General features: G+C 34.2%; 1 long non-coding RNA gene across 1 annotated transcript in view; it reads left to right on the top strand.

The window, feature by feature from the left end:
* The window catches only part of LINC02383 (long intergenic non-protein coding RNA 2383), a 35014-nt gene extending 31940 nt beyond the window's left edge, over nucleotides 1-3074 (top strand). Inside the window, exons 2-3 of the long non-coding RNA NR_146993.1 lie at nucleotides 1795-2024; nucleotides 2834-3074. This is a non-coding gene — a long non-coding RNA (long intergenic non-protein coding RNA 2383). The remainder of the gene's footprint in view (nucleotides 1-1794; nucleotides 2025-2833) is intronic.
* Nucleotides 3075-26367: the final 23293 nt, after the last annotated feature.

Raw genomic sequence — 26367 nt, 5'->3', positions numbered from 1 at the left:
AAAGGTAAGAAAGTCAAGGTAAAAATGAGAGTAAAGCATTCAGTGAAACCACAGATATGAAAATAAGTAAACATTAGAAGAGGTTGTGAAGCACAACTCTTTACACTATATCAAAGATCAGTAAAATGTAGACATTTCACTTGAAATACACAATTATTCATTTTAAATGAAGAAGAGGCAGAATGCAGACAAAACTCATAGAGTTAAGACTCCTCTTGATGAACAGATGAAATAAGGATGCAATTTGAAATATTTCAATATTTGTTTTACTCTGAAGTGCCTTGGTCCATCTTCCAATCCTTTTCTCAGGAGTGTTTCTTTTTTGTTTTTGATGTATCCAATCCCTGCTTGATTTCAGTTTTGAAAGTTTCTCAAAATGTCTAGTCCACCAATAATGCATTCTCATGCTTTCCTATTAGGTATTACCAAAAAAAAATTAACACAATTTCTATTTCCATAACATTAATGGCAGGAATTTAGTTAGAACTGTATTCAGCCTCTAATCTTATATCCATATTCCAAGTATTCTTTATTTATATATGTATATATAGATATATATTTTTAAGCTAAAATTACTTTGAGTTCAGGCTTTGATGACATAGCACACACACACACATACACAAATTACACAGCAATATATCAAGAGTATTAATTCTTAATCAATGCATTTAAAGTTACATGATGTTCCAGTGAGAAAAATATCAACCAGGATTTTTTTTGGAAGAATACAACTTCCTGAAGTAGAAACCTATAAAAATTATTTTAATATTATAAAATATGTGATAAAGATAGGAAAGGTTGTTCCTACCAGATATTAAAATGTATTATAAAGACATTCTAATTTAAATAATACAATATGTGTTTGGGAATTGGTATGCAACTGTGGAACAGAAGAGAAGGTAGAGTTTCAATCTCAAATATATATAATATTTTAATATTGAAAAGTGACATTTCAAAGACATTAAATATAGGAAGGGGTTATTTAGATGACACTAGGTTTAACAATTCTATTTTATTTTACCTTACACCTAAAAATGACCACTAATAGTATAAATTTAAGTATTAAACACGAGATGATTAACACTTCATAGCATCAGTAAATAAAACATGGCAATGGTCGTAACAAGTTCACTTCATCTATAGTTCTTACCTGAGCTCAAGTAAGCAATTAGACTAACAAGGTCACAATAGGCCTGGCTGGCACCAGTTTACTCAGAAGGAATTGAACCAGAAATGCAGTAAGGCAGCAGGGCCTTATCACATGTTTCTTTTTTTCACCATGAGTTTTACAGAATTCCATAGAGCAAACAAAGTTCTATTCTTGCTGAAAATCCGGTAACAGTTCAAGTAAAAGGAGATGAAATATACACCAGTGAGTGCAAGGTTCAGAAACCAGTTCCTGCTTTACTTTCCTGGGATACTCAATAGCTGAGCTTGCTTCCTTCTAGGTCTAGTCATGTATTGTTATAATTTGACCCTCAAAAGTTGAGGAGAAATCAAAAATTAAAATTATAAATCAATTATAAGAATTAAATAAAATATAAAATTAAATTAAAATAGTTGTAAAAATACTTTAAAAATGGTTTTATATTAAAACTGTTAGAAAATTCTTTAATTTTAAATTTTAGAGATGTATTACTTATTTTGTAGAGATATTTTTAAAGTGAAAATATCTGCTGATTAGAATTTTATTGGGTTAAGATTTAATGAAACACTGTGTGTGTGTGTGTGTGTGTGTGTGTGTGTGTATTGCTAGTGCTTTATAACATCACTATTATTTATTTATTTATATAGCGTTGTGGACACTATGAGCTGCCCAGCTGCCCCTTAGAGGAAAAATTTATTGTTCTAGCTTCTAGGAATGTTATTGGCAGGTGGCATTTAAATCTCAGCCCCTTCAGGGTTTACCTGAACTGCAGAGAACGAGCCTACCTGACCAAGTACAAGATCCTTTCCAAGTCAGCCCAGGAGGGATGACTGACAGAGCAGAGGCAGAAAGGACCAGCCATTCTGGAGCAGGATAAGTAAGTTTAGGATGCCATACCGACTTGTCACCTTGTGTGAAGCCCAGTGGGCTCCTTTCACAACCCATGCACCTAACTCTTTTGCAAGATAAGCGGTGCTACATGATACCAGCTGCCAGGTGGATACAAGCTCCTGATACGCCCAGGGAAAGAGAACAAAAGCCCTTGTTTATGATGAGGCTCCCCTCATTTCCAGCCTATCAGCATCAAAAGCCCAAGAGGCTCTTAGCTACAATTTCCTGCCTTGGAGAGCTAGAGACATCTCTGAGGTCCCACTTGAGCAGCTAGGTTCAGGATTTAGATTGTAATGACATTTTCGTCATTTTAATAGTAAAAAACCACACTCCTAGGTGGAGATTTTAGATGCTAATGATTCATAGAATGTGTGTTAGAGCATGTTAATGCTGAATGCATGCGCCAACCTCAGGTCCACCTTTGCATACTTGACCTCACTTTTATGTATTTTATAAATACATATGTACAGCTCCCACAAAAGGAATTCCCCTTAAGGCACTAAGGGCTTTCTCTCCCTTGAAGCATCCTACTCAGCCTCTCAGAGTCTACTTTTGCTTTGCAATAAATTCATTGGCCTACTCTTACTTTGGACTTGCTCTCAAATTCTTTTTGTTAGTGAAGTCAAAAACCTGAACTGACTCACCAACAACAATTCTGGCCCAATTTGAGATAATGCAACAAGACATTTTAACTCCAAAGCTCCAAGTGGGATTGGCTAAGACCATTGCTGGCTCTGGATTACAGCACGACATTTCCCTCTGCCTAATCCTTTTCCCCTCCTTTGCTATCCACAGGTGTTGATCCCAAGGGCTCGCATAGAAAACACGTGCACATTAAACTCAGTATCCTAATCTGCTTGTAGACAAATGTTACCTGCAACATCCAGTGGAAGAGAGTAGGAATTCGGGAAGATTAAAGTTGCCACCATTGCAGAGAAAAATCATTATTGAGCCGGGTCTCAAATTTATTATTATTACCATTTTCCACATACTGGTGTCCGAAAATAAACCTGAAATAAATGCTTAAGAAAAAAAATCATTTGAGTACTGTCTTTTATCTATACACTCAGAGCCAAATACACTTTTGAAAATTAATTTCTTGGAATAGAGTAGCCTAAAATACTTATGCATTTTATATGAATAAAAATGAGAAGCAGTATATTTATATCAGCTTTTCTTTAGAAAAAAACATGATTTTATTTACAGACCTATTTTCATTGTGATTAATTTGAAACTATCTTCCAAAACTTCCAGTTGTTCTTAATACCTCTGTGTTTTCAGTTCCAGCTGCAAGATAAAAAGTTGTAAGATTCTATATCTTTTACATCACCATTTCTTCCCACAACACACACACACACACACACACACACACACACACACACATACTTTGAGGTAGATTTGAGTGACTTTTAAAATCAATTTAGTTGAAGAAAGGTCAAGAGGAATTATATGATGTTAAAAAATAACAGTTTAAGAAATTTAGTAAGAAAAAGAAGAAATTAGTGCCATCTAGCATATCAGTATGGACTAATTATTGTGAGTTTGTTATTTTGAGTTATATGGCTCTGAGGCTAGGTGTCAGTCAGAGTTTCAGGATACAAATAACATAATCCCTAGCCGATTTAAGTATAAAAGAATCTTCAGATGGAATAATTCAGGCTTATATGGGAAATAGCCAACAAAGTCCAATTTGTACCTAATGGCTGCCCTGGTAAGAACCTAATTCCTCTGTCACTTGGCACAGACATTGTTGCAGCTTGCACCACTGAGGCAGGACACTGGATATGAGAAATTCTGCTTCCACTTCCTCAGAAAGCCAGACACTGTGTGAGAAGCTAAAAGCCATGCTGTTTCTGCATTCTCCCTTTGCTTTCTTCTTGAGCAGACTGAGGTGGTGTGACTTATTAGTGAAGTCTGTTTCACATGAGTAGGAAGAACTTGGAAAGTGAGTTTCCGGCTTCTAACTTAAGGAGCTAATGCTCATATTACAGGAAATTCCATAGATATTAGAAATTCATTCCAAAGTTGGCCACCAGTCATGGCAAATAGCCACAAGATCTACACCAAATTTTCCTGCCAGTTGGTGTCTGAAAAGCATGCAAACAAACAAAACCTGCTTCGATAAGTTTAGGCTATTTGTTTAAATATCTTAAACCTTTAATATATACTTAATAATACTGTGCTAAGCAAGTGGGAGGATTGGCTTGTCACACCAAAGGTGGTGTATTTGGAAATGCCATGAAAGAAGAGATGGTGACTTTTCTGGAGATTTGGAATGTAAGCCATGCTTCAATATAAAAGTGCTATAAGGACTGAGTTGAAAAGTACATATGTTTTAGACAAATTGGAAAAGTTGTGTGTGTGTGTGTTTATGTTTCTTTATATGTATGATAGAAGGTTGCTGAGAAATGGGAACAGAGAGCAGAAGAAAGGATTTGTTAAGAGTAAGGGCAGTGCTAGGTAGATTAGGTAATGGGATACAATCAGTTTAAGAAAGGATGAGCTACAGAATAAAGGTTAAAGCAGTTATGATAGTCGATCTTTTTCTAGGGTGTAACTTTCATTTTAGTTTTTCAGGATGAATAAAAAATTGTACTGCCTTTTACATCAGCTTGATATACAAAATAAAAGTATTGCTTCTTATTTGCAGAAAGTTATGAGAGAGTACTTAGCATTACGACAACTGTGCCACTTAGCTATGCCCCAGTGCCAGGTTGACTCCCAAGGATAGCTATGGGGTTTCGGGAAGTCTATAGGTGGCAGAGAAAACCAACAAGTAAGAGACACATTTATCTTCTGAGATAAGCAAGAAGACAAATAGGTATGGAAACTTTGAAGAATGAAATTTTCCATATATCCATATATAACCACTCCCATTGTGGCTAGGGAGAGCAGCAAATAAGAAACTGTTGTTTGAAGAAAAGGACTAGATAGAAACATTGAGGGAGATGATGAGGTCACGACACAGTCAGCAGTGGGCAATTGAAACTCTAAATTGAGGGAAACTGCCAGGTTAATAACTCCTGCACACACTGGGTATTTAGAGTTCAGTTGCAGAGACTTCTAGAAAATAGATTTATTTTCCTCCTAGAGTTTGAATGAAAGTCCCTGTTCTGAGGGACTAGGATGCTGTCCTATGATTAGGCACAAGCTAGTGACCAAAATCATCAAGTTCTACTGGAAATTGTGACTATTGAAAAAAATAGTTTAATCTTTCAGAAGAAATAGACTCTTGGGGAAGTGGACATAAAAGTACCTTGTAAGAAAAAAAAGCCAAGTTGACAGATTTGGAAGCTCCACGTATAATAAGGGAAAAGAGGATAAATTTAGCAACAAGAAAAAGCATGGCATAATGGAAAGCGTCTCTGCACAAAATTCCGAACAGCATCCTGATTAAACAGAGAACTCAAGATGACAACAGTGCAGGAGAAAAGCTGATAGTAGAAATGAAAGTGGAGCCTGGCTTCTTTAACTTGGCATAACCTCCCCCAGTTCCATCTATGTTGTCTCAAACAGCGAGATACTACGTGATCGCACTTATATGTGAAATCTAAAACAGTTGATCACGTAGAAACAGAGAGCAGAAAGATGGTTTCCAGAGGCTGGCAGGGAGAGGGTGGGATAGGGAAAGGGAAGATGTTGATCAAAGGATATAGAGTCTCAGACTGGAAGAATAAGTTTTAGTGATCTACTGCACTGCAGGCGACCACAGTTAATAAAGATGTATTATAGATTACAAAATTGCCAAAAGAAGAAACTTTTAACCCTCTCACCACAAGAAAATAAGTTGGTGAGGTGATGTTAGGTTAAGTAGCTTATTGACTCTTTCTACTACTACATGTATAGATCAAAGCATCACATGGCACTCCATAAATATATCAATTATTATTTGTCTATTAAAATAAATTTTAAAACATGAAAATTGAGAAAAATAGATAAGAAGTATTTCAGATAATAGATCAAGTTTTAAAATGCCATTTTAAGCACCCAAATGCAAGTATGCTTCATACCTGTTATCTAATATTTGAAATAGAAAGTACCATTTTTTAAATTGCACTCATTTTAGAATATTTGTCACAATTGTGTTTTTGCAGAACCACATTACTAATGTATATAGTAGGTAAGCCAATTTGATTTTATCTTCACATTACTATGGACTATAACATCCTTAGGAGAGGTTCTAGAACAAGTTCTTCTTAGATGGAATTTTATATGATAATGAGTCTCAAAATTTAACATTATAGTTTGCTTGAGCTTTAATTACTCCTAGAAAATCTTAAGGTAATAATTTTAAATTTCTACGAATATAAGTTTAATTTGCTTATTAGCCAATTTTTATATTTTAACTTAAATGAATGAAGAAAATTCTATTCTTTTGTATAATAGTAACTTATAGAGCAGGCTAAGCTAGTCTGTATCCTTCAAAATTTGTCCCTGTCTACAATACACAGAAGCTGATGAGATTTTTAGCCACCATTCAGCATTTGTGTATGTACTAATTCTTGAATACTTTTTGTGCCAGAATCTGTGTTATTTGCTGTATAATTGCACTTTAAAGTTATGCTGTAAAAGTGACTAATATTAGTAAAAGAGACATTCGTATGTCTTATACATTCTATAATATTAGGAAAAGAATTGACAATCCATGACAAAAAGGACTTCCAAAATAGGAAGCAGTCATGAGAAATAGAGGCATAGAAAACCAGATATTGGTGGAACGGGTAACAAAGAAAGTAAGAACAAGAAGAAAATAAGTGAAATTTTCAAACAATAATGAAAATTTGCCGCTACCTCAGTACAGAGTAGAAAAATTTAGCTTGTGTTTCTGTGTGTATGCCTGTGTATACGTGTGAATGTAAAATACATACGTTTGCTCTTTCTGTCAGATTATTTTCTGATAAGGGCCTGAATCTATATTTATTCCAATAAATTGATATAGGGATTTATAAAAAGGTGCTGTTATTGAAAAACAGAAACTAGAAAATATGGAAAGAAGGTTTAAAATCTTTAACACTTAAAACCTAAAACTCATGACTCTTAGCTATTATTTTCTAGGACAATCTTAGCTTAAGTTAAAAACGGAAACAGCTAGGAATGTATAGCTGTTTTGCTTTGCTCTGCAGGAGTATCCAAAAACCTCAATCCTTAGAAATATCAGGGCATAGAAACTGTCCTTGTTGCCTTAGATCTGAGAAGGCAATGACAGTCAGTTTTGCAATGACATGAAAAGGCAAATGCTTCTTTCTCCATGGAGTGGCCATGCAGCTTTCTTGGCTATATACTCTTCTGGAGATTTTAAGCACCAGGCTTAGACTCTCCAGTGCAGTTACAAAAACCAAAGGAGAGGGAGGATGTGATGGTTAATACTGAGTGTCAACTTGATTGGATTGAAGGTTGCAAAACTTTGATCCTGGGTGTGTCTGTGAGAGTGGTGCCAAAGGAAATTAATATTTGAGTCAGTGGGCTGGGAAAGGCAGACTCACACTTAATATGGGTAGTTACCATCTAATCAGCTGCCAATGTGGCTAGAATATAAAGCAGGCAGAAAAATGTGAAAAGACTAGACTGGTCTAGCCTCCCAGCCTATATCTTTCTCCCCTGCTGGATGCTTCCTGCCCTCAAACATCGGAATCCAAGTTCTTCAGTTTTGGGACTCAGACTGGCTCTTCTTGCTCCTCACTTTGCAGATGTCCTATTGTGGGACCTTGTGATCATGTGAGTTAATAAATTCCCCTTCATATATATATTTAATATTATATATTGAATATATTATATATTAAAAATATATTTAATGTTATAAATTTATACTATAATTTATAATATTATTATTGTAAATATTATAATACAAATATATAATATATATTAAATATATAATATATATTTAATATATATGTTAAATATATAATATATAATTTATTTATATATTATATATAATTATATATATTATATATAGTAGTATATAATACATTATCGTATATATGATATATTATACAATTAATTAATATATAATTAATTATATATTTTAATATATAATTAATTATATGTATTTTAATATATATAATTAATTATACATATTTTAATATGTATAATTATATATATTTTAATATGTATAATTAATTATATATATTTTAATATATATAAAATATAAATATATATAAATATGTATAAATAAATATATAATACAAATAATAATATATAATTAATTATATATAAATATATAAATACAATTAATTATATAATATATAATATATATTATATCATTAATTATATATAATTAATTATATAATTTATATATTACATATAATTAATATATAGTATATTATTATATATAAATAATATATATTAATATATATTATATATTAATATATATTAAATATTATTAATAAATAATAATACATATATTAAATATTATTAATAAATAATAATACATATATTATATATTATTAATAAATAATAATACATATATTATATATTATTATATATCTAAATACATACATTATATATTATTATATATAATTACATATATTATATATTATTATATATAATAATATATATTATATATTATTATATATAATAATATATATTATATATTATATCTATTAATTAATATATATAATAATATATATTATATATTATTATATATTTAATTAATATATATTATTATATATTATTTATATATGATAATATATATTATATATTATTATATATTTAATTAATATATACTACATATCATCATATATTTAATTAATATATTATATATTATTATATTAATTATATATAATTAATTTATATTAATTAAATTAATTATAAATAATATATATAATTATATTAATTATATTACATAATTTATATATAATATGATTAATATAATTATATAAATAAGACTATATAATTAATATATATAATATTATATATTATATGTTATATAATTAATTATATTTATATATTCATATGTAATTAATTATATATATTTATATTTTAATATATATAAATATATATAATTAATTATATATAAATTAATTATATAATATGTTATATTATATATTAATTATATAATATATGATATATATCTTAATTATATAATATATTATATTTTATAATTAATATATATTAATTATATTATATATTAATTGTATATATAATAATATATATTAATTATATAATATATAATCTAGTATATTATACATTAAATATATAATAGATTATTACATTAAATATATAATATTATTATATTAAATATATAATAATATATTATTATATTAAATTTAATACTAATATATTAGTATTAAGTATATAATAATATATCATTATATATTTATATAATGATATATTATTATTAATTAATAATAATATATTATTATATTAATTCATAATATCATATATGATATATAATTAATTATATAATATCATATATTATATAATATTATATTATATATTATATCATATATAATATTATATATTATATCATATATAATATTATATATTATATCATATATAATATTATATATTATATCATATATAATATTATATATTATATCATATATAATATTATATATTATATCATATATAATATATATGATAGAATATATTATGTATTATATTATATTATAGAAATAATATTATATATTATGTATTATGTATAATATATAAATAATATATAGTATAATATATAATATATGTGATATAATATATATTATATATTATATATAATATATATAAATAATATATATTATATATTATATATAATATATATAAATAATATATAATATATATTATATTATATTATATGTTAAATATATATTATATATAATATAATAAGTATATTTATAATATATATTTAATAATATATATATTAAATGCAGATTAAATGCAGGGACTCTGCATTTAATGTTACAGCTCGGGGGATTATGAAAGTTCTAACAGTTTATTTGCTTGGTTAGCTGCAAAAGATGGCTCACTGTGAGCAAGCTGGAAATGCCTAATCTCCCTTGGTCTAATGTAGAGTAAGGGGTCAAAAGGCTTAGGATGGGCCTGCCACGGTGGTTCATGCCTGTACTCCCAGCACTTTGGGAGGCCATGACAGGTGGATTGCTTGAGGTCAGGAGTTTGATACCAGCCTGGCAAACATGGTGAAACTCCATCTCTACTAAAATACAAAACTCAGCCAGGCATCGCGACGCATGCCTCTAATCCCAGCTACCAGGGAGGCTGAGGCAGGAGAATTACTTGAACCCAGGAGGCGGAGGCTGAGACAGGAGAACTGCTTGAACACAGGAAGTAGAGGTTGCAGCGAGCCGAGATCATGCCACTGCACTCCAGCCTGGGCGACAGAGTGAGACTCTGTCTCAAAAAAAAGAAACAAAAGATTGGGATGGTGGAGTGGATTAGTCACTTTAGTCCTACTCATCCCAGCTGGAATGATCCAGAAGATATACCAGTGACCAATGCCTTGTGAAATAGATTCATAAGGACAGCACCTGCATCTTTGAAGAGCCCTGTAATTGCTCTTCTCTATATGTCAGATCTAACAATGGGAACCACAGTCACTCAATTACAAAATTTAAATACAGTGGAAATAATTGTATCCTGAGGTGGCAGGGCCCAAGTGGGATCACTTTACCATCAAAGGCAAGGTGGGCATAGCTACCATAATGGACAGCAGAAACAAAGCAGCTATCAGAATAGTCTGACTCGTGTAGCGCTCTGGCATTGGCTAATCACAATTCTCCTGAAGTTAAATTGATGGGAAGCCTACTGCATTCCTACTTAATTTATATAAGCAGAAAACTTCCAGGTCGAATGGACAAAAGACTAATTTGAATTATAAAAAGAGAATCATGGCCTTTCAATAAATTTCCAGACTTAAGCCAGTTTACAGTCACAAAACCCCTTGAATGAAGGGGAGTCTGGGTCCCCTAGAGGAAGGACCACACTACAGTATTGACAATTTATGCAGTGAATCTTTCTTCCATTCTTCCCCAAGGAAGCCTCTGGCCATTCACCAGGGTAACTGTGCATTGGGGGAAGGGAAATGATCAGACATTTTGGGGACTACTGGACACTGGCTCTGAGCTAACGTTGATTCCAGGAGACCCAAAACATCACTGTGGTACTCCAGTTAAAGTAGGGGCTTGTGAAGGTCAGGTAATTAATGGTGTTTTAACTCATGTCTGACTTACAGTGGGTCCAGTTGGTCCCCAGACTCATCCTGTGGTAATTTCCCCAGTGCCAGAATGCAAAATTGGCATAGACATACTTAGCTGGCAAAACCCACACATTGGCTTCCTGACTGGTAGGGTGAGGGCTGTTATAGTGGGAAAGGCCAAATGAAAGCCATTAGAGCTGCCTCTACCTAGAAAAATAGTAAATCAAAAACAATATTGCATCCCTGGAGGGACTGCGGAGATTAGTGCCACCATCAAGGACTTGAAAGATGCAGGGGTGGTGATTCACACCACATCACCATCAAACTCTCCCATTTGGCCTGGGCAGGAGAGAGATGGATTTTGGAGAATGACAGTGGATTATTGTAAGCTTAACCAAGTGGTGATTCCAATTGCAGCTGCTGTACCAGATGTGGTTTTATTGTTTGAGCAAATTAACACATCTCCTGGTACCTGGTATGCAGCCATTGACTTAGCAAATGCCTTTTTCTCCATTCTTGTCCATAAGGCCCACCAGAAGCCATTTGCCTTCAGCTGGCAAGGCCAGCAATATACCTTTACTGTCCTACAACAGGGGTATATCAACTCTCCGGCTTTGTGTCATAATCTTATTCAGAGAGACCTTGCTTTTCACTTCTGCAAAATATCACACTAATCTATTACATTGATGACATTATACTGACTGAATCCAGTGAGCAAAAAGCAGAAAACACACTGGACTTATTGGTGAGACATTTGTGTGCCAGAGGATGGGAAATAAATCCAAGTAAAATTCAGGGACCTTCTACTTCAGTAAAATTTCTAGGGGTTCAGCGGTGTGGGGCCTGTTGAGATATTCCTTCTAAAATGAAGGATAAGTTGCTGCATTTGGCCCCTCCTACAACCAAGAAAGAGGCACAATGCCTAGGGGGCCTATTTGGATTTTGGAAGCAACATATTCCTCATTTGGGTGTGTTAATATGGCCCCATTTATTAAGTGACCCAAAAGGCTGCTAGTTTTGAAAGGGGTCCAAAATAGAAGGCTCTGCAATAGGTCAAGGCTGCCATGCAAACCGTTCTGCCACTTGGGCAATACGACCCAGCAGATCCAATGGGTGCTCGAGGTGTCAGTGGCAGATAGGAAGGCTGTTTGGAGCCTTTGGCAGGCCTCCATAGGTAAATCACAGTGGAGGCCTCTGGGATTTTGGAGCAAGGCCCTGCCATCTTCTGCAGATAACTACTCTCCTTTTGGGAGACAGCTGTTTGCCTGTGACTGGGCTTTGGTGGAAACTGAACGTTCGACTATGGATCATCAAGTCACCATGCGACCTGAACTACCTATCATGAACTGGGTGCTTTCTGACCAATCTAGCCATAAAGTGGGTCATGCACAGCAGCATTACATCATCAACTGGAAGTGGTATATATGTGATTGGGCTTGAGCAGGTCCTGAAGGAACAAGTAAGTTACATGAGGAAGTGGTTCAAATGCCCATGGTCTTCACTCCTGCCACCCTTCCTTCTCTCCCCTAGCCTACACCAATGGCCTCATGGGGAATTTCTTATGATCATTTGACAGAGGAAGACAAGACTAGGGCCTGCTTCACAGATGGTTCTGCATGATATGCAGGCGCCACCCAAAAGTGGGCTAGGATATCTCTGAAGGGCAGCAGTGAAGGGAAATCCTCACAGTGGAAAGAACTTTGAGGAGTGCACCTGGTCGTGAGCTTTGCATGAAAAGAGAAATGGCCAGATATGCTATTATATACTGATTCATGGGCTGTAGCCAATGGTTTGACTGAGTGGTCTGGGACTTGGAAGAACCACGATTGGAAAATTGGTGACAAAGAAATTTGAGGAAGAAGTATGTGGATGGATTTCTTTGAGTGGTCAAAGACTGTGTAAATATTTGTATCCTATGTGAATGCTCACCAACAAGTGACCTGAACAGAGAAGGATTTTAATAATCAATCAAGTGGATAGGAGGACCTGTTCTGTGGACAACACTCAGCCTCTTTCCCCAGCCACCGCTGTCATTGCCTCATGGGTCCATGAACAAAGTCGCCATGGTGGCAGGGATGGAGGTTATGCATGGGCTCAGCAACATTGACTTCCACTCAGCAAGGCTGACCTGGCTATGGCCACTGATGAGTTCCCAATTTGGCAGCAGCAGAGACCAACACTGAGCCCTTGATATGGCACCATTCCTTGGGATGATCAGCCAGTTATCTGGTGGCAGGTTGATGACATTGTACCTCTTTCATCATGGAAAAGGCAGAGGTTTGTCCTCACTGGAATAGACACTTACTCTGGATATGGGTTTGCCTATCCTCCATGCAATGCTTCTGCCAAGACTACCATCAGTGGTCTCACAGAATATTTTATCTACTGTCTTGGTATTCCACACAGCATTGCCTCTGACCAAGGCACTCACTTTACGGCTAAAGCAGTGTAGCAGTGGACTCATGCTCATGGAATTCTCTGGTCTTACCATGTCTCCCATTATCCTGAAGCAGCTGGATTGATAGAACAGTGGAATGGCCTTTTGAAGTCACAATTACAATGCCAACTAGGTGGCAATACTTTGCAGGGCTGAGGCAAAGTTCTCCAGAAGGCTGTGTATGCTCTGAATCAACATCCAATATATGGTACCATTTATTCTATAGCCAGGAATCACAGGTCCAGGAATAAAGGAGTGGAAGTGGAAGTGACACCACTCACCATCACCCCTAGTGATCCACTAGCTAAATGTTGGCTTCCTTTTCCTGTGACATTATGTTCTGCTGGCCTACAGGTCTTAGTTCCAGAGGGAGCAGCGCTGCCACCAGGAGACACAACAACTATTTCATTACACTGGAAGTTAAAATTTCCACCTGGACACTTTGGGCTCCACCTACCTTTAAGTCAACAGGCTAAGAAGGGAGTTACAGTGTTGGCTGGGGTGATTGACCCGGACTATCAAGATGAAATCACTCTACTACTCCACAATGGAGGTAAGGAAGAGTATGCATGGAATACAGGAAATTCATTAGGGCATCTCTTAGTATTATCATACTCTGCGATTAAGGTCAATGGGAAACTACAACAGCCCAATCCAGGCAGGACTACAAATGGTCCAGACCCTTCAGGAATGAAGGTTTGGGTCACTCTATCAGGAAAGAAACCACCACCTGCTAAGGTGCTTAATTAAGGCAAAGGGAATACAGAATGGGTAGTAGAAGAAGGTAGTCATTGATACTAGCTATGACCACGTGACTAGCTGCAGAAATGGGGACTGTAATTGTCATGAGTATTTCCTCCTTCTTTTGTGAAAAACATGTTTGTGTATGTAGATACTTGTACTAAGAAAATATCTTCATTTTATTTCCTTTTTTCTTTATCATGTGACATAAGATTTATTGACTTCACATCAGCATTTAAGTATAGTCAACTTTATCTGATCGTATTTGGTTTGGGGATTGGAGTGTTTCCAGTTGTATGAAGGATAGTTGTATTATGTTAGGCATAATTGTGACCATATTATTGTCTTTATTTGAAGATTATGTATGATCTCAGGAGTTGCATATGGGTTCAAGTTGACAAAGGGTGGACTTGTGTTAGTTAATACTGACTGTTACTTTGATTGTATTGAAGGATGCTGAGTATTGATCCTGGGTGTGTCTGTGAGGGTGTTGCCAAAGGAGATTAACATTTGAGTCACTGGGCTGGGAAAAGCAGACCCACCCTCAGTCTGGGTGGGCACCATCTAATCAGCTGCCAGTGCAGCTAGAATATAAAGCAGGCAGAGAAATATGAAGAGTAGACTCTCCTAGCCTCTCAGCCTACTACATCTTTCTCCTGTGCTGGATGCTTCCTACCCTTGAACATCAGACTCCAAGTTTTCCAGTTTTGGGACTTGGACTGGCTCTTCTTGCTCCTCAGCTTGCAGGCAGCCTATTGTGGGACGTGTGATCATGTAAGTCAATACTTAATAAACTCATATATATATATATATATATATATATATATATATATATATATATATATATCCTATTTGTTCTATATACGCTATTAGTTCTGTCCCTCTAGAGAACCCTGACTAATACAGAGGATCATTGGATTCCTAAACCACCTGGCTGGAGCCTGGGAGATTTGAACCTTGCCATTTTTCTCTCATGTTAAACATATAGAATATTATTTAATAATATATAAATTTGTGGACGTTTCTTACCCTCTCTTTGCTTTAGTTTAGGGATAATAATAATATCTGTTTATAGGGGTTTTAGGATGAATAAAAAGATAATGTAAGTAAAACATTTGAAACTATGTCTGATACTATTAAGCACTCAATACCTGTTAGATATCATAAACATTAACATCCTTTTTATTATTGCCCCATCGACTTATGTATCTGCTCTTTGGAACTGCCTTTAGAGCAACAGTCTTACCCTATTCCCCTAAAGACTCTAACCTCATCCTCCAGTGCATAAAGTGACCTGAATCAGCTATGACCCTTTTCAAACAGTTGTAATTTATTCATTTATTCCTACGTTTGTCCACTCAACACCTACAAAGTAGAATACTGTGTTCAACAGTAAAGTTAAAGCTGATTTTGGAAGACAGAGAGAAAACTCTGTTTCCACTTTCCTGAATAGCTGCTAACTTCCTATTGCTCCTTCTTCATGTTTTAGCTTTACTTCCAGAAGACTAATTTGCAAGACAGGATAATGAATCCATTCATATAAGTTTCCTTGTGCTATTATTCTTAAATAAATTGTAATAGGTTCCTACAATTAAATACAAATTTTAAAAGATCAAACATTTTACTTCTTAATGGAATAATTGCAACCTTTTAATGACCACTTACTGTGTTCCAATGACCTTTCAAATACATTTTCACGTGTTACCTCATTAAATCTTTATCATAATTTTGTGAAGTAGACATTGTTGTTCCAATTTTATAAATAAAGGTGCTGAAGTTTACAGCAGCTAATTAACTTTCCTGCAGTTTTACAGATGCTAATTAGAAAAGGTTTGATTGAAGCCTGTATGACTTTAAAGCCCAGGTTTGTATTCATGCAGCTACTCTACTTATCATTGACAGGTCTCAACAATATATGTGAATTACATTCACTTTATCATAATAAAACATATTCATACATCATTTGATATTAGGAATAGCCTCATTTAGACTTCCTAATTTCCCTTCACAATAAGTCTATAAAGTATAATAAACAAAGCATCCCTTTACAGAAAAATAAATTCAGATGATGACACTTAGTTGAGATGATGCCAACTCTTCCAGTTAGCACAGGGTAGAGCCAAGACACAAATTTCTTACTATGAATGTCATTTGAGAATTAAAAGGTTTGTCGATGTACCATAAGCAGTGGTAATATATGTTCTACAAGAAACAATCTGGAGTGGAAGAAGTTAAGCAAGGATAGTAAATAAAGTAAGATTCCTAATAGAGGCAGATATTGAGGCCAACATGTCTACTCTAGGAAAAAAGTAGATAGATGAGTGGCATGTACAGGAAGACTACAGCAAGAACACAGGCACGGTTATCATCTCAGCTTGTTATCATTAAAATGAGAAGTGGCTTATCTTTCATCTTTCAGGTTATAAGAGAAGCATATTTAAGTTACTTAAATCAGTCAGAGTTTAATATAAGAATAAACCAGGAAAGGAAAAATGTAAATATGATCATTTTACTTTCTGGTTTTATATCCTCCAGGGGTTCCAATAACCTGTATGATAAAAATTGGAATCCTGGTTTACAAGCCTTTTTATACCCAAGTAATGACTTCATCTTCAGCCTTATCTCTAGCTGTTTCTGCTGCCCTACTAAACTTATTTCAGCTGTTTAAAGGGCTATAATCTCTCATCTCTAAGAGATGTTTTATGTTTTGAATTCAAAGACCAAATGGGAGGAGGTGACTTAGTTTAGCAATCACCATCCAATACTGTGCAAAAGCGCTGCTCACAGACAATAGGCAAGCAGATACATGGTGGTCTTTTATCCAGGTGCCATTCTCTTCACTGTGACTCCAGGTGATCCATGGTTTTAAAAACTACCTGCAATCTGTTCCTTCAAAAAGAGTATATGGAAATGGAATCCTCAACTCAAGATGGAATCTGACAGTAGAAAACCTGGCCAGAATGGAGGGTAGACAAGCAAAATCATCATTAGTGGCACCTCATGGATACAGTCACATATTATCATGTAGTGCCTTAGGAATGAGTCAGTGAATTGTTAAATATTTCATATGGGTTAGTATATATAAAGAGGTTAAACAATGAACTTGGATTAATGCCCTAAATAAGCAGCAGCTGTTAACAAAGTCATTAATTAGGGTTATGGTTACTTTAATCATCAACTGTAATTATTTGTTTGAACTGAGATCCCATTATTAGCAGTCAACATTTCAGGTATTAAAAGAAAACACACTTGCATTTGTCAATTTGGATCACAGAATTTTGCCAAGTTTAGCTCTACACTCACTTACTATTTTAATAAGAAGTTTGCTAAAGAAAGATTTTTCTTTACAACAGATATAGAGCACCTCATTAGTGAATTTGCTCATTAGGCTTTGGCTTTAATAGATAAAAACACTGAAGTAGGAGGACAGACTAATCAGTTTTGCTAAAGGAATATGGCTGCCTTCCATTAAAGAAAAACCCTTGGGCTTCTAATGGGATACATTATTTCTGGTGAATAATCTTTGGAAAAGGAATTTCAAGATGACTGCTATGATTTATAATTTCAAATCACTGTAACCATAATAGAACTTGACCATTGGATTGATTATCATAATAGCTATTACAGTTGTCCATTTCAAAATAAGCATTAAATATATCAAAAATTACATTTGCATATATTACTAGTTTAATTGTCCTAAATATAACTGACAGCTATTATTAAACCAGTTTATTCATGGCTTGGGGTGTTCCAAATAGGCCATGTATTTTGGAGTTTGATGTGAACAAATCCGATTAAAAGACTAATCAACTAATTTAAATGGTCTTATACATGGCTTTATTTTACTCATATTGCATAAATTAAGTTATATATTTTACTAATAATAGATTTTTACTACTTATTGTACTATTGTTTTATTTTTGCTTTCTCATTCCATCAATGTGTTAGCTAAGATACGTTTTATTTTTGCTTTCTCATTCCATCAATGTGTTAGCTAAGATACAAGCAGGAAACAAATATTTCAGTGAGCAGACTTAGGAAAGATCTACTTACAGAGGAGTAGACAAGGATATGGAATATGCAATGGTGAGACACTCAGAAGCAACACAAAGCCATTACCACTCTTAGTGCTGAAGAAACAAGGAGAGGATTATCAAAGCCCACTGAGACCCAGAACTCTGGAGGAGGGCCCATCTACCATACAGGATACTGCCAGAGACTGTGTATTGATCAAGGGAAGAGGCAAGGAAGAAATACTGTTCTATGGTCCCTGGTCTCTCACTCCATCTACTCCAGTCTCCCAGGGGTTCCCATTGAGTTGACCCAACCGGAAGACAGCTAGAGAAATTTGAAGAGTCAGTCTATAGGACCTAGCCTCCTAGGGAAAAGCATAGCAGAGAAAGGCAGTGTGCAGATTGGGATAGAGCAAGTACAATATATTCCACAATTGCCAATATAAAGGGATAGGTTTTAAGTTTTCTTAAAAAGGATTTTTATTATGAAAATCATATTTTGTATTATAAAATTATTCAAACACACAAGAAAGTACACAGAACACTCTACTAAGTACCTCTGTATAAAGACATAGTTTTCTTCTAATTTTAAAAAGTTGCTCATGTTTGTTTCATATTTTTAAAAAATCATATGTACAGTTGAAGTCCTCTACATAACTCTGAAACTATTCCTCTTTTTATCCCTAGGAAATTTTACAATTCATAATTCCAGAAATGTGTTTAGAATTTTACTTAATATAAATATATAATATATAAAATATATACATATACTATTATATATATTTATATACAATATATACAGATGTAATTACAAGTATTGTTCAGTACATCTTAATATTCAAATAAATTCTATTAGTTTGTGAAGATTCTTAATAGACTCACTTTTCTCATAATTGTATAATGTAAAATTTATTCAGATGGATATAAGAAATTGTAGTTCATACATTTTAGCTGCTTCATCACATTGCATTGCGTTTGATATAAAAATGTCTTTATAAATTCTTGTTTTAAGGGATAAGTAAGTTGTCTTCAATTTTAACCATTGGAAATAATGCTATATTTGACATGATTATGATTCTCTATTTGTGCCATCAGAATCAGCAAGCATGGTTAGGTGTATGTCATTTCATTTGATGAAAGTTTACTGTGCGGCCTCCTTGATTCATTGCTCAGTGGCTCAGGTCGCAATATTACCTGGATTCCCATAATCGGGCATTCAGTTTCTATCTGTGCCCTGACAGAGTGACAACTATTTCTTAAAAGAAGAGTTGTTATTTTCTAAAGAGCATATAACCTTGAGAAAAAAAAAAATCCCTGTAGCTCAGTTTGGATATTGATAATAGATAACAGAAAACAAGGAGAATAGATGGATAAAATATAATGTATATATTTATTAGAAAACTAGAAAATTATAAAGATATTCAATAATTATAAGGTTAAGATTTAGAAGAAAATAAAGGGAAATAAGGCTTATATTTATGATACCTTTTAAATTGAAAATTCTAGTGAAGAAGACTGGGAGTTTGAGCAACTGAGCAGTGCATTCTACAGAGAGATGGGAGAGATAAAGATTGGAGTCTGGGCTTACAAGTAGGAAGGCCCTGGCAAACACCCTGAGAGTCTGTACCCTAGGAAGAAGGTGAAATAGAAGTAGTGAAGTCTTATTGGGGTCTAAAGCTCAGGATAGATGATATTAATCCCTTATTAGAATTACATTAATCTAGGATGGCTAATGATTCTTGAATAGCCACCAGATGATAGCAAAGATAACTCTATCTTGGAGTAAGAGAATAGTATCCAGAGACTCAATTTACCTTTATAGTCTTCATACATACCGCCTGATAATCAAGCATAACCAGGTATGCAAGTAGATAAAAATAAAAGTGACCACAAAGCCAAAGAAATAACCAGATAAGAGATTCAGATTATTCCATTATATGGCACAGGTTTTAAAATAACTATAAAAATTGTGTTTCAGTAAATAAGTGACACAATTTTGTAATTTCAGCATTGAAGTATAAACTTAAAGAAAATAAGGAAAATTGAAATTGTAAAACTTAAAAACCCAATAATAGAAACTAAGAACTTAGTGTATATATTTGACAGTAGATTAGATGCAGCTGGAGAAAGAATTAGTAAATTGGGAGGCATCTCAAAAGAAAATATTTAAACCAAAGCAAGGATAAACAAAAGGATAGAAAAAAAAAGCATAAGAGAAGGTAACAAGGCCTAGAGAATGTTGCTCAAAGAGTGTCCTCAGAGAAATGAATGTCCATAAACTATTACTGGTCTACATGAGATATATCAGAAATTGAACATTAGCATTTAGAACTTTTTATAACAAATTGATACTGCCACTCTATATTTATCGCGTTTTTCAAAAGTATCTGCTATCAATAGATTTGAAAAAAAGAAAATGAACAAACAAAATGAAAATAACCATATTTTTCACCACAGATATTTTAAGAAATAACAATCTAATATGCTGATAATTAAAATTTTGAAATCAGGTCCTAAAAAGAATGAAGTAGATGCACTTTCATCTGTATTAAACCACTGAGATTTTAGAGTTAATAGCACAGTATAGCTATCCTATTTTACATGATTTTCAACATAGCAGAAAAATTATTTAAAATTTTTGATATTAATCCAGGGTAGAATTAACTATGCTCACATTCTTGAAATACTAATAATTGTATCAGAATCTCTGGGCTCTGTTCAAATTCTTCCTTCATTCCACCAGCTACCAGTAGGGTAAGCTTCTGATTATTAGAATTGTGGGCCTATGTGTGAAGAATTACCCTGAACTGAAGAGAGGTACCTCACCCCAGCTTTCATTTCTCTCCTAACCCACAGGCAATAACTAGTTGATTTAAAAGAAACAATAAAAGGCCCAAGTTTGAGCCAATTTTAAAGAAACATCTCTGCTCCAGCTACAGTTGAGATAGCCAGAGATTACTAATGCAAATTCACTAGACTTCAATTTCTCCTTTTGCCAATTCCTATTTTCCTAACCTCGTTAATGGTGCTGTCTTTGAGGGTCTCCTGCATGCAAATTTCCTCTAACAGTCTGTTTCTGTCAAACTCAATCTGAAAGCATTGGTACAGGATTGGTCTTAGGAAATTGACCTTAAAATAGAATTTTGATGTTGGATCACTCATAGCCTGGCTTGTAATGAGTACTCATACTAGTGGTCAGTAATGTTTTGATTATTCCTGGTATGCTGTGGTGGTGCAATTGTTAAAACTTTTATCACTAGTAATAAGGGACATTATATAAATAGAAGATTATGCACTGTCAGTGCCATGCCTCAGACATTTGAGAATTATAGAGAAAGTAGTAAATTGAAAAGACTAGAATCGAATGTCTATTGCTGAGTGCTATAGATTCATTGAAGAAAGCCAGTAAAGTCTAGGGTGCTTAACCACTATTTTAATGTTAAATGTAAAATCAGAGCACTTGGCAACATATAAAGTGATTTTCCTCTCCTATAACCATTGGGCTAATGAATTTAGGATTAGACACAGTATTTAATTCTAAGTATAGTGAAATTCCAAAGTTGAATTCTCAACTCAATAGATCTTCTATTCGCAAATGTTGGTGCTTATTGAGAAAAATTCAGATTTTAAAAGTCTTTTCTTCAAACAGGAAATGTATTTCAGGAGTCTTGAGGCCTTGAAATGGCTGGCTTCTCCGAGTTAAAGTCTAGCACTCCCTACTCTCCATTCCACTTCCCAACTCCCTCATCACTTGAAGATAGTATAGAGGCCTCTGCTTTGCAACACAATGGGTCTGGTTGTAAAAAGTGGTTCATGTGTGGGAAATGAACATTGAGCAAGGGAGAGACTAAGTCCCCATAAGGGAGGACATAGTAATGCCACAATGAGTCTAGGCAGTAACTATTCCCCAAGTCATTCTGCACAGAGATCTCTGGCAACTTATTAGGAAAGCCATACACTGGAGCATGAGATCTCCCCCGACATTTTGAGGGCTATTGGACACAGGACCTAAGACTTTAGTGATGGCTGTATACATGAATCACTATATCTTCTAATTAGAAGATGATACTTCTTAGCCCACTTGTTAGATTGGTGCAGGTGCAATGGAGAAAGGTCTGGGAGTCATGTAATTGAGTCCTCTCTCTGTTCTTGTTCACCATGAATCTATTGGATTTACGGACATACCCAATGACTTTTCTTCAGTACATAAACGTACAATTAGAATGTAAATACTTGACAATTACTATGATCCTTGTATCAATTCCATGATCTGTGAGGTGAAAGCTATATTATTGGTAAATGGCAATTAAAAGTCCCAGCTAAGTCATTAAGTAAAAAATCATGCTTATCTATGAGGATAGAGCAAAGATTAGGGCTACTACTGTTTTTTCATCAAAATGTAAAACTTTTATTCTTTGATATATACTGTTAAAATAAAAAGACAAGTCACAGTTATCTCACAAATAAATTATACCCAAAGTATATAAAGAATTCTCAAAACTCAATGATTATAATAATGAAAAAACAACTAAAGAGTAAAAGAATTCAGGATCATGGCTTCTACCATTTAGGTTTACCAATTTGGCTCCTACAAAATTCAGATGGATTTTGGTGGGTGGCTGTAGATTATAATGAATTTAACCAGGATAACAGTCCTAACTACAACTCCTGGGATAGATATGGTATCTCTTCTAGAGGAAATTACTAGACTGCAGACATTCCCTATATGCCTGTATTCATCCAACAGATGCTAGGTCAGAGATAGTTTGCTTTCATGTGGGATGTACAATAATATATATTTGTAGCTTTGCTTGAGGGTGATACTAACCTTTTTTACTTCTGTCATAATATATTCCCAGGGGACCTGAACAGTCTGGACACTCTGACATTATTCCACTATGTGGATAATTGGAAATTCTGGAAAAGAGGCTTATGGATTAACCTGTGGGAGTGAACGTAAAGCATAGTGTAGGCAGGACATGAATGTCTACCATAAAGTATTGACCATAGAAGATGCTCAATAACCAAGTAGAAAGAATGACCCATACAAGTCACATCAGCCAGCCTCTGGCACTGGCCATTCTACTGCTGGCAAATGGTTCATAAACAGTGTAGACTTAATGGCAAAGATGAAGTCTCTGCATAAACCCTAGAACATAAGCTCCCAGTCACCATGATCCAACCTACCATCAACAAAAACCAATGCTCAGCCTCTGATATGACAATATCCTTTGAAGAGTCCAACTACCCAATTGTGGCAATTAGTTACTTTCAGTTTAGCTATATGTTTGTGATTTAACAATAGCTCCCATTAGATACTACCTCCATTGCATATCTTGAATTGCCGCGGACCTATTGGACTGAACAAAGAGGGGAGAATGCCGGAATAAAGACAAGAGACAAAAGTCGGAGGCACCTTGCCTCTAGTGGACAAGGGCCCTGAACTTTACACAGCATTCTGTATTTATTAGGCAAAAAAGATAGTGAGAATGGGGGTGGAATAAGGGGCTCAGTCCAGAGTAGGCTTGCAAGACTGCATTCTCTAGATGTTGCAGTAGGTAAGCTCGGCACCAGGGAATGATTGCCTCCAGCAAACCTTCTGTCAGCAGGAGCAGTTGTGAGTTTGCTCACATCCTACTTTCATGATAAACAGTTTGCTATCTGATCATATAGCCTCCAGTGGAATGCTGAGTTGGTCACATCCCATGGGCCTTCAGCCCCCTGTGTTGAATAATGTAATTGCTTTCACACAATGCAATTATGGTTAACCTCTTTCTAAATTATGCACTATTATTGTCTAGCATTTTAATTTTTTTAACCTTACAAATTGAAAGAAGAACATTGTTTTTATATAAACAATGGTTTCTTGAACTTATTCACTTGTTTTCCAATTTATATATTTTCTATTATTTATTTCTCAGTCTTCTTCTAAGATTCTTTTCTATCTTCCAAAAGTACACTCAGAAGTTTCACGATTGAAGGATAGTTAGCAGTGAGCTTTCAGTTTATTGAATCTTTAGCTTTGAAGAACAATTTTGTAGACTAAGTAATGTTAACGATACAGCTCCCCACTCACCAACCTTTAGCTCTTTAATATATCATCCTGTAGTTTTTTAGTCAATTCTTTACTTATTTTATCAAACAATTTTATAGTATGCAGTGTGCATTAATCTGCATTGTAAGTACTTTTAACCAGTCTGTTCATTATCTCCGAGTACAAACTACCTTTTGAGAGGAGTAGGTGGCTTACCTCTATTTTTAATAATAATTATAAAATAATAGAAATGGAATAATAACTTTAAAAAATATCTGAGCATATTCAATATTCAATCCTCATAAAAACCCTAGGTAGTCGACATTATTACTTCTCTTATTTTACAAGGACTGTGGTAGACAGACTAATGTCCCTCAAAAATGTTCAGGTCATAAGGCCTGAAATCTATGAATATATTACCTTTCATAGCAAAATAGGCTTTACAATGATTGAGTTAAGGATTCTGAGGTAGGAAGATTATCCTAGATTCACAACGTGATCAATCACTGTGGTCCCTGTTAAAGGGAGACAGGAGGGTAGGAGTTAGAAAAGGAGATGTGAACAAAGCAGAGGTTGCAACAATGAGAAGAAACAGCCATAAAAAAGGAATGCAGGGCACCTCTTGAAGCTGGAAAAAGTAAAAACATAGATTATACTTTAGAGCCTCCAGAAGAAATGCAACCCTGCCAACAACTGACGTCAGGACTTCTGGCCTCCAGAACTGTAATAAATAAATAAAGATAATAAATCTCTAATAAATCCAGATAATAAATCTATGTTGCTGTGTGCCAATGTTTGCAGTGATTTATCACAATAGCAATAGAAATCTACTACAAAGATAAGACACAAAGAGATTAAGTTATTTTCCAAAGATTTAACAGCCAGAGTGGCAAGGAAACAAACCAAGTAATCTGAATTCAGAAACCGCAATTTTCGTTATTGATGCAAAGTCTGCTTTCAATATCATCCAGTTATTTGTAGGTGATTTCTCTACCTGCATTAAAAACTTTTCATTGTCTTTTGTATGTGCAATGTTACAATATAAATGTGTTTTTGTTTGTTTGTTTTTCCTGTTTATAACTTATTGTGTTTCATGTATAGAGGCTCCTCAACCTATGATGGTGTAATTTCACAATAAACTCATCATAAGTCAAAAATACCAAAAGTCAAAAATGCACTTACTTCCTTGATAAACAAACCCATCATAAAGTTAAAAAAATGTTAACCTGACCCATGGTAAATTGGCAACTGTTTATATGTGTGGGTTCATGTTAGTTGAACTCTCAACTAGCCCTTTTCAGATATTACCTTTGCTTCCTTTTCTAAGTCTCTCTTGATCCTCATCTCTTGGCTCCTGGTGGTTATATCCTTTTGTAGTGCCTTCCCACTTTGTATCAGGCTCTTATTATCACTCTTGTAAATGCTTGCTCTCTTTCTCTGTCAACCTATACAGAGACCCAAATGGTGAGATGGCAGAGGAACTGAAGGACCTGCCAAAAGACTTGTGAGTGAGATTAGAAGAAATTTTAGCTTAGTCAAATCTTCAGAGACTGTTGTCCAGACAACAGCTTGACTGGGAACTGGTTAAGAGATCCTGGAACCAGACAACCATTTAGTATTTGTTGCTTGAAGTTGCTACATTTTGGGATAATGTGTTATGTAGTAGAAAATAATTAATACAATCTTCTATTGGGATGATTATTTCAGATATGCATTAAATCTTCTCAGTGTAAACAACATGCCACTTTTCTTTTTTCTGCATGTTTCATTTTGTCTGGTTAATTTCTTCAGATTTGTTTTTCTGCTTACTCTTCAACTGTGTCTATTAGATCTTTTTCATTTCAAAAATTATGTGTTTTTAATTAATCATTAGTTAATTCATTTTCTAATTAACTTTGCCTTTTAAAAATAATAGTATTACTTAATTTTAGATTTATTATCTACATATATTTGTATGGA

Source organism: Homo sapiens, chromosome 4 (assembly GCF_000001405.40).
Source record: "Homo sapiens chromosome 4, GRCh38.p14 Primary Assembly".
Lineage (NCBI taxonomy): Eukaryota > Metazoa > Chordata > Mammalia > Primates > Hominidae > Homo > Homo sapiens.
This window is presented reverse-complemented; position numbering and strand designations above follow the sequence as displayed.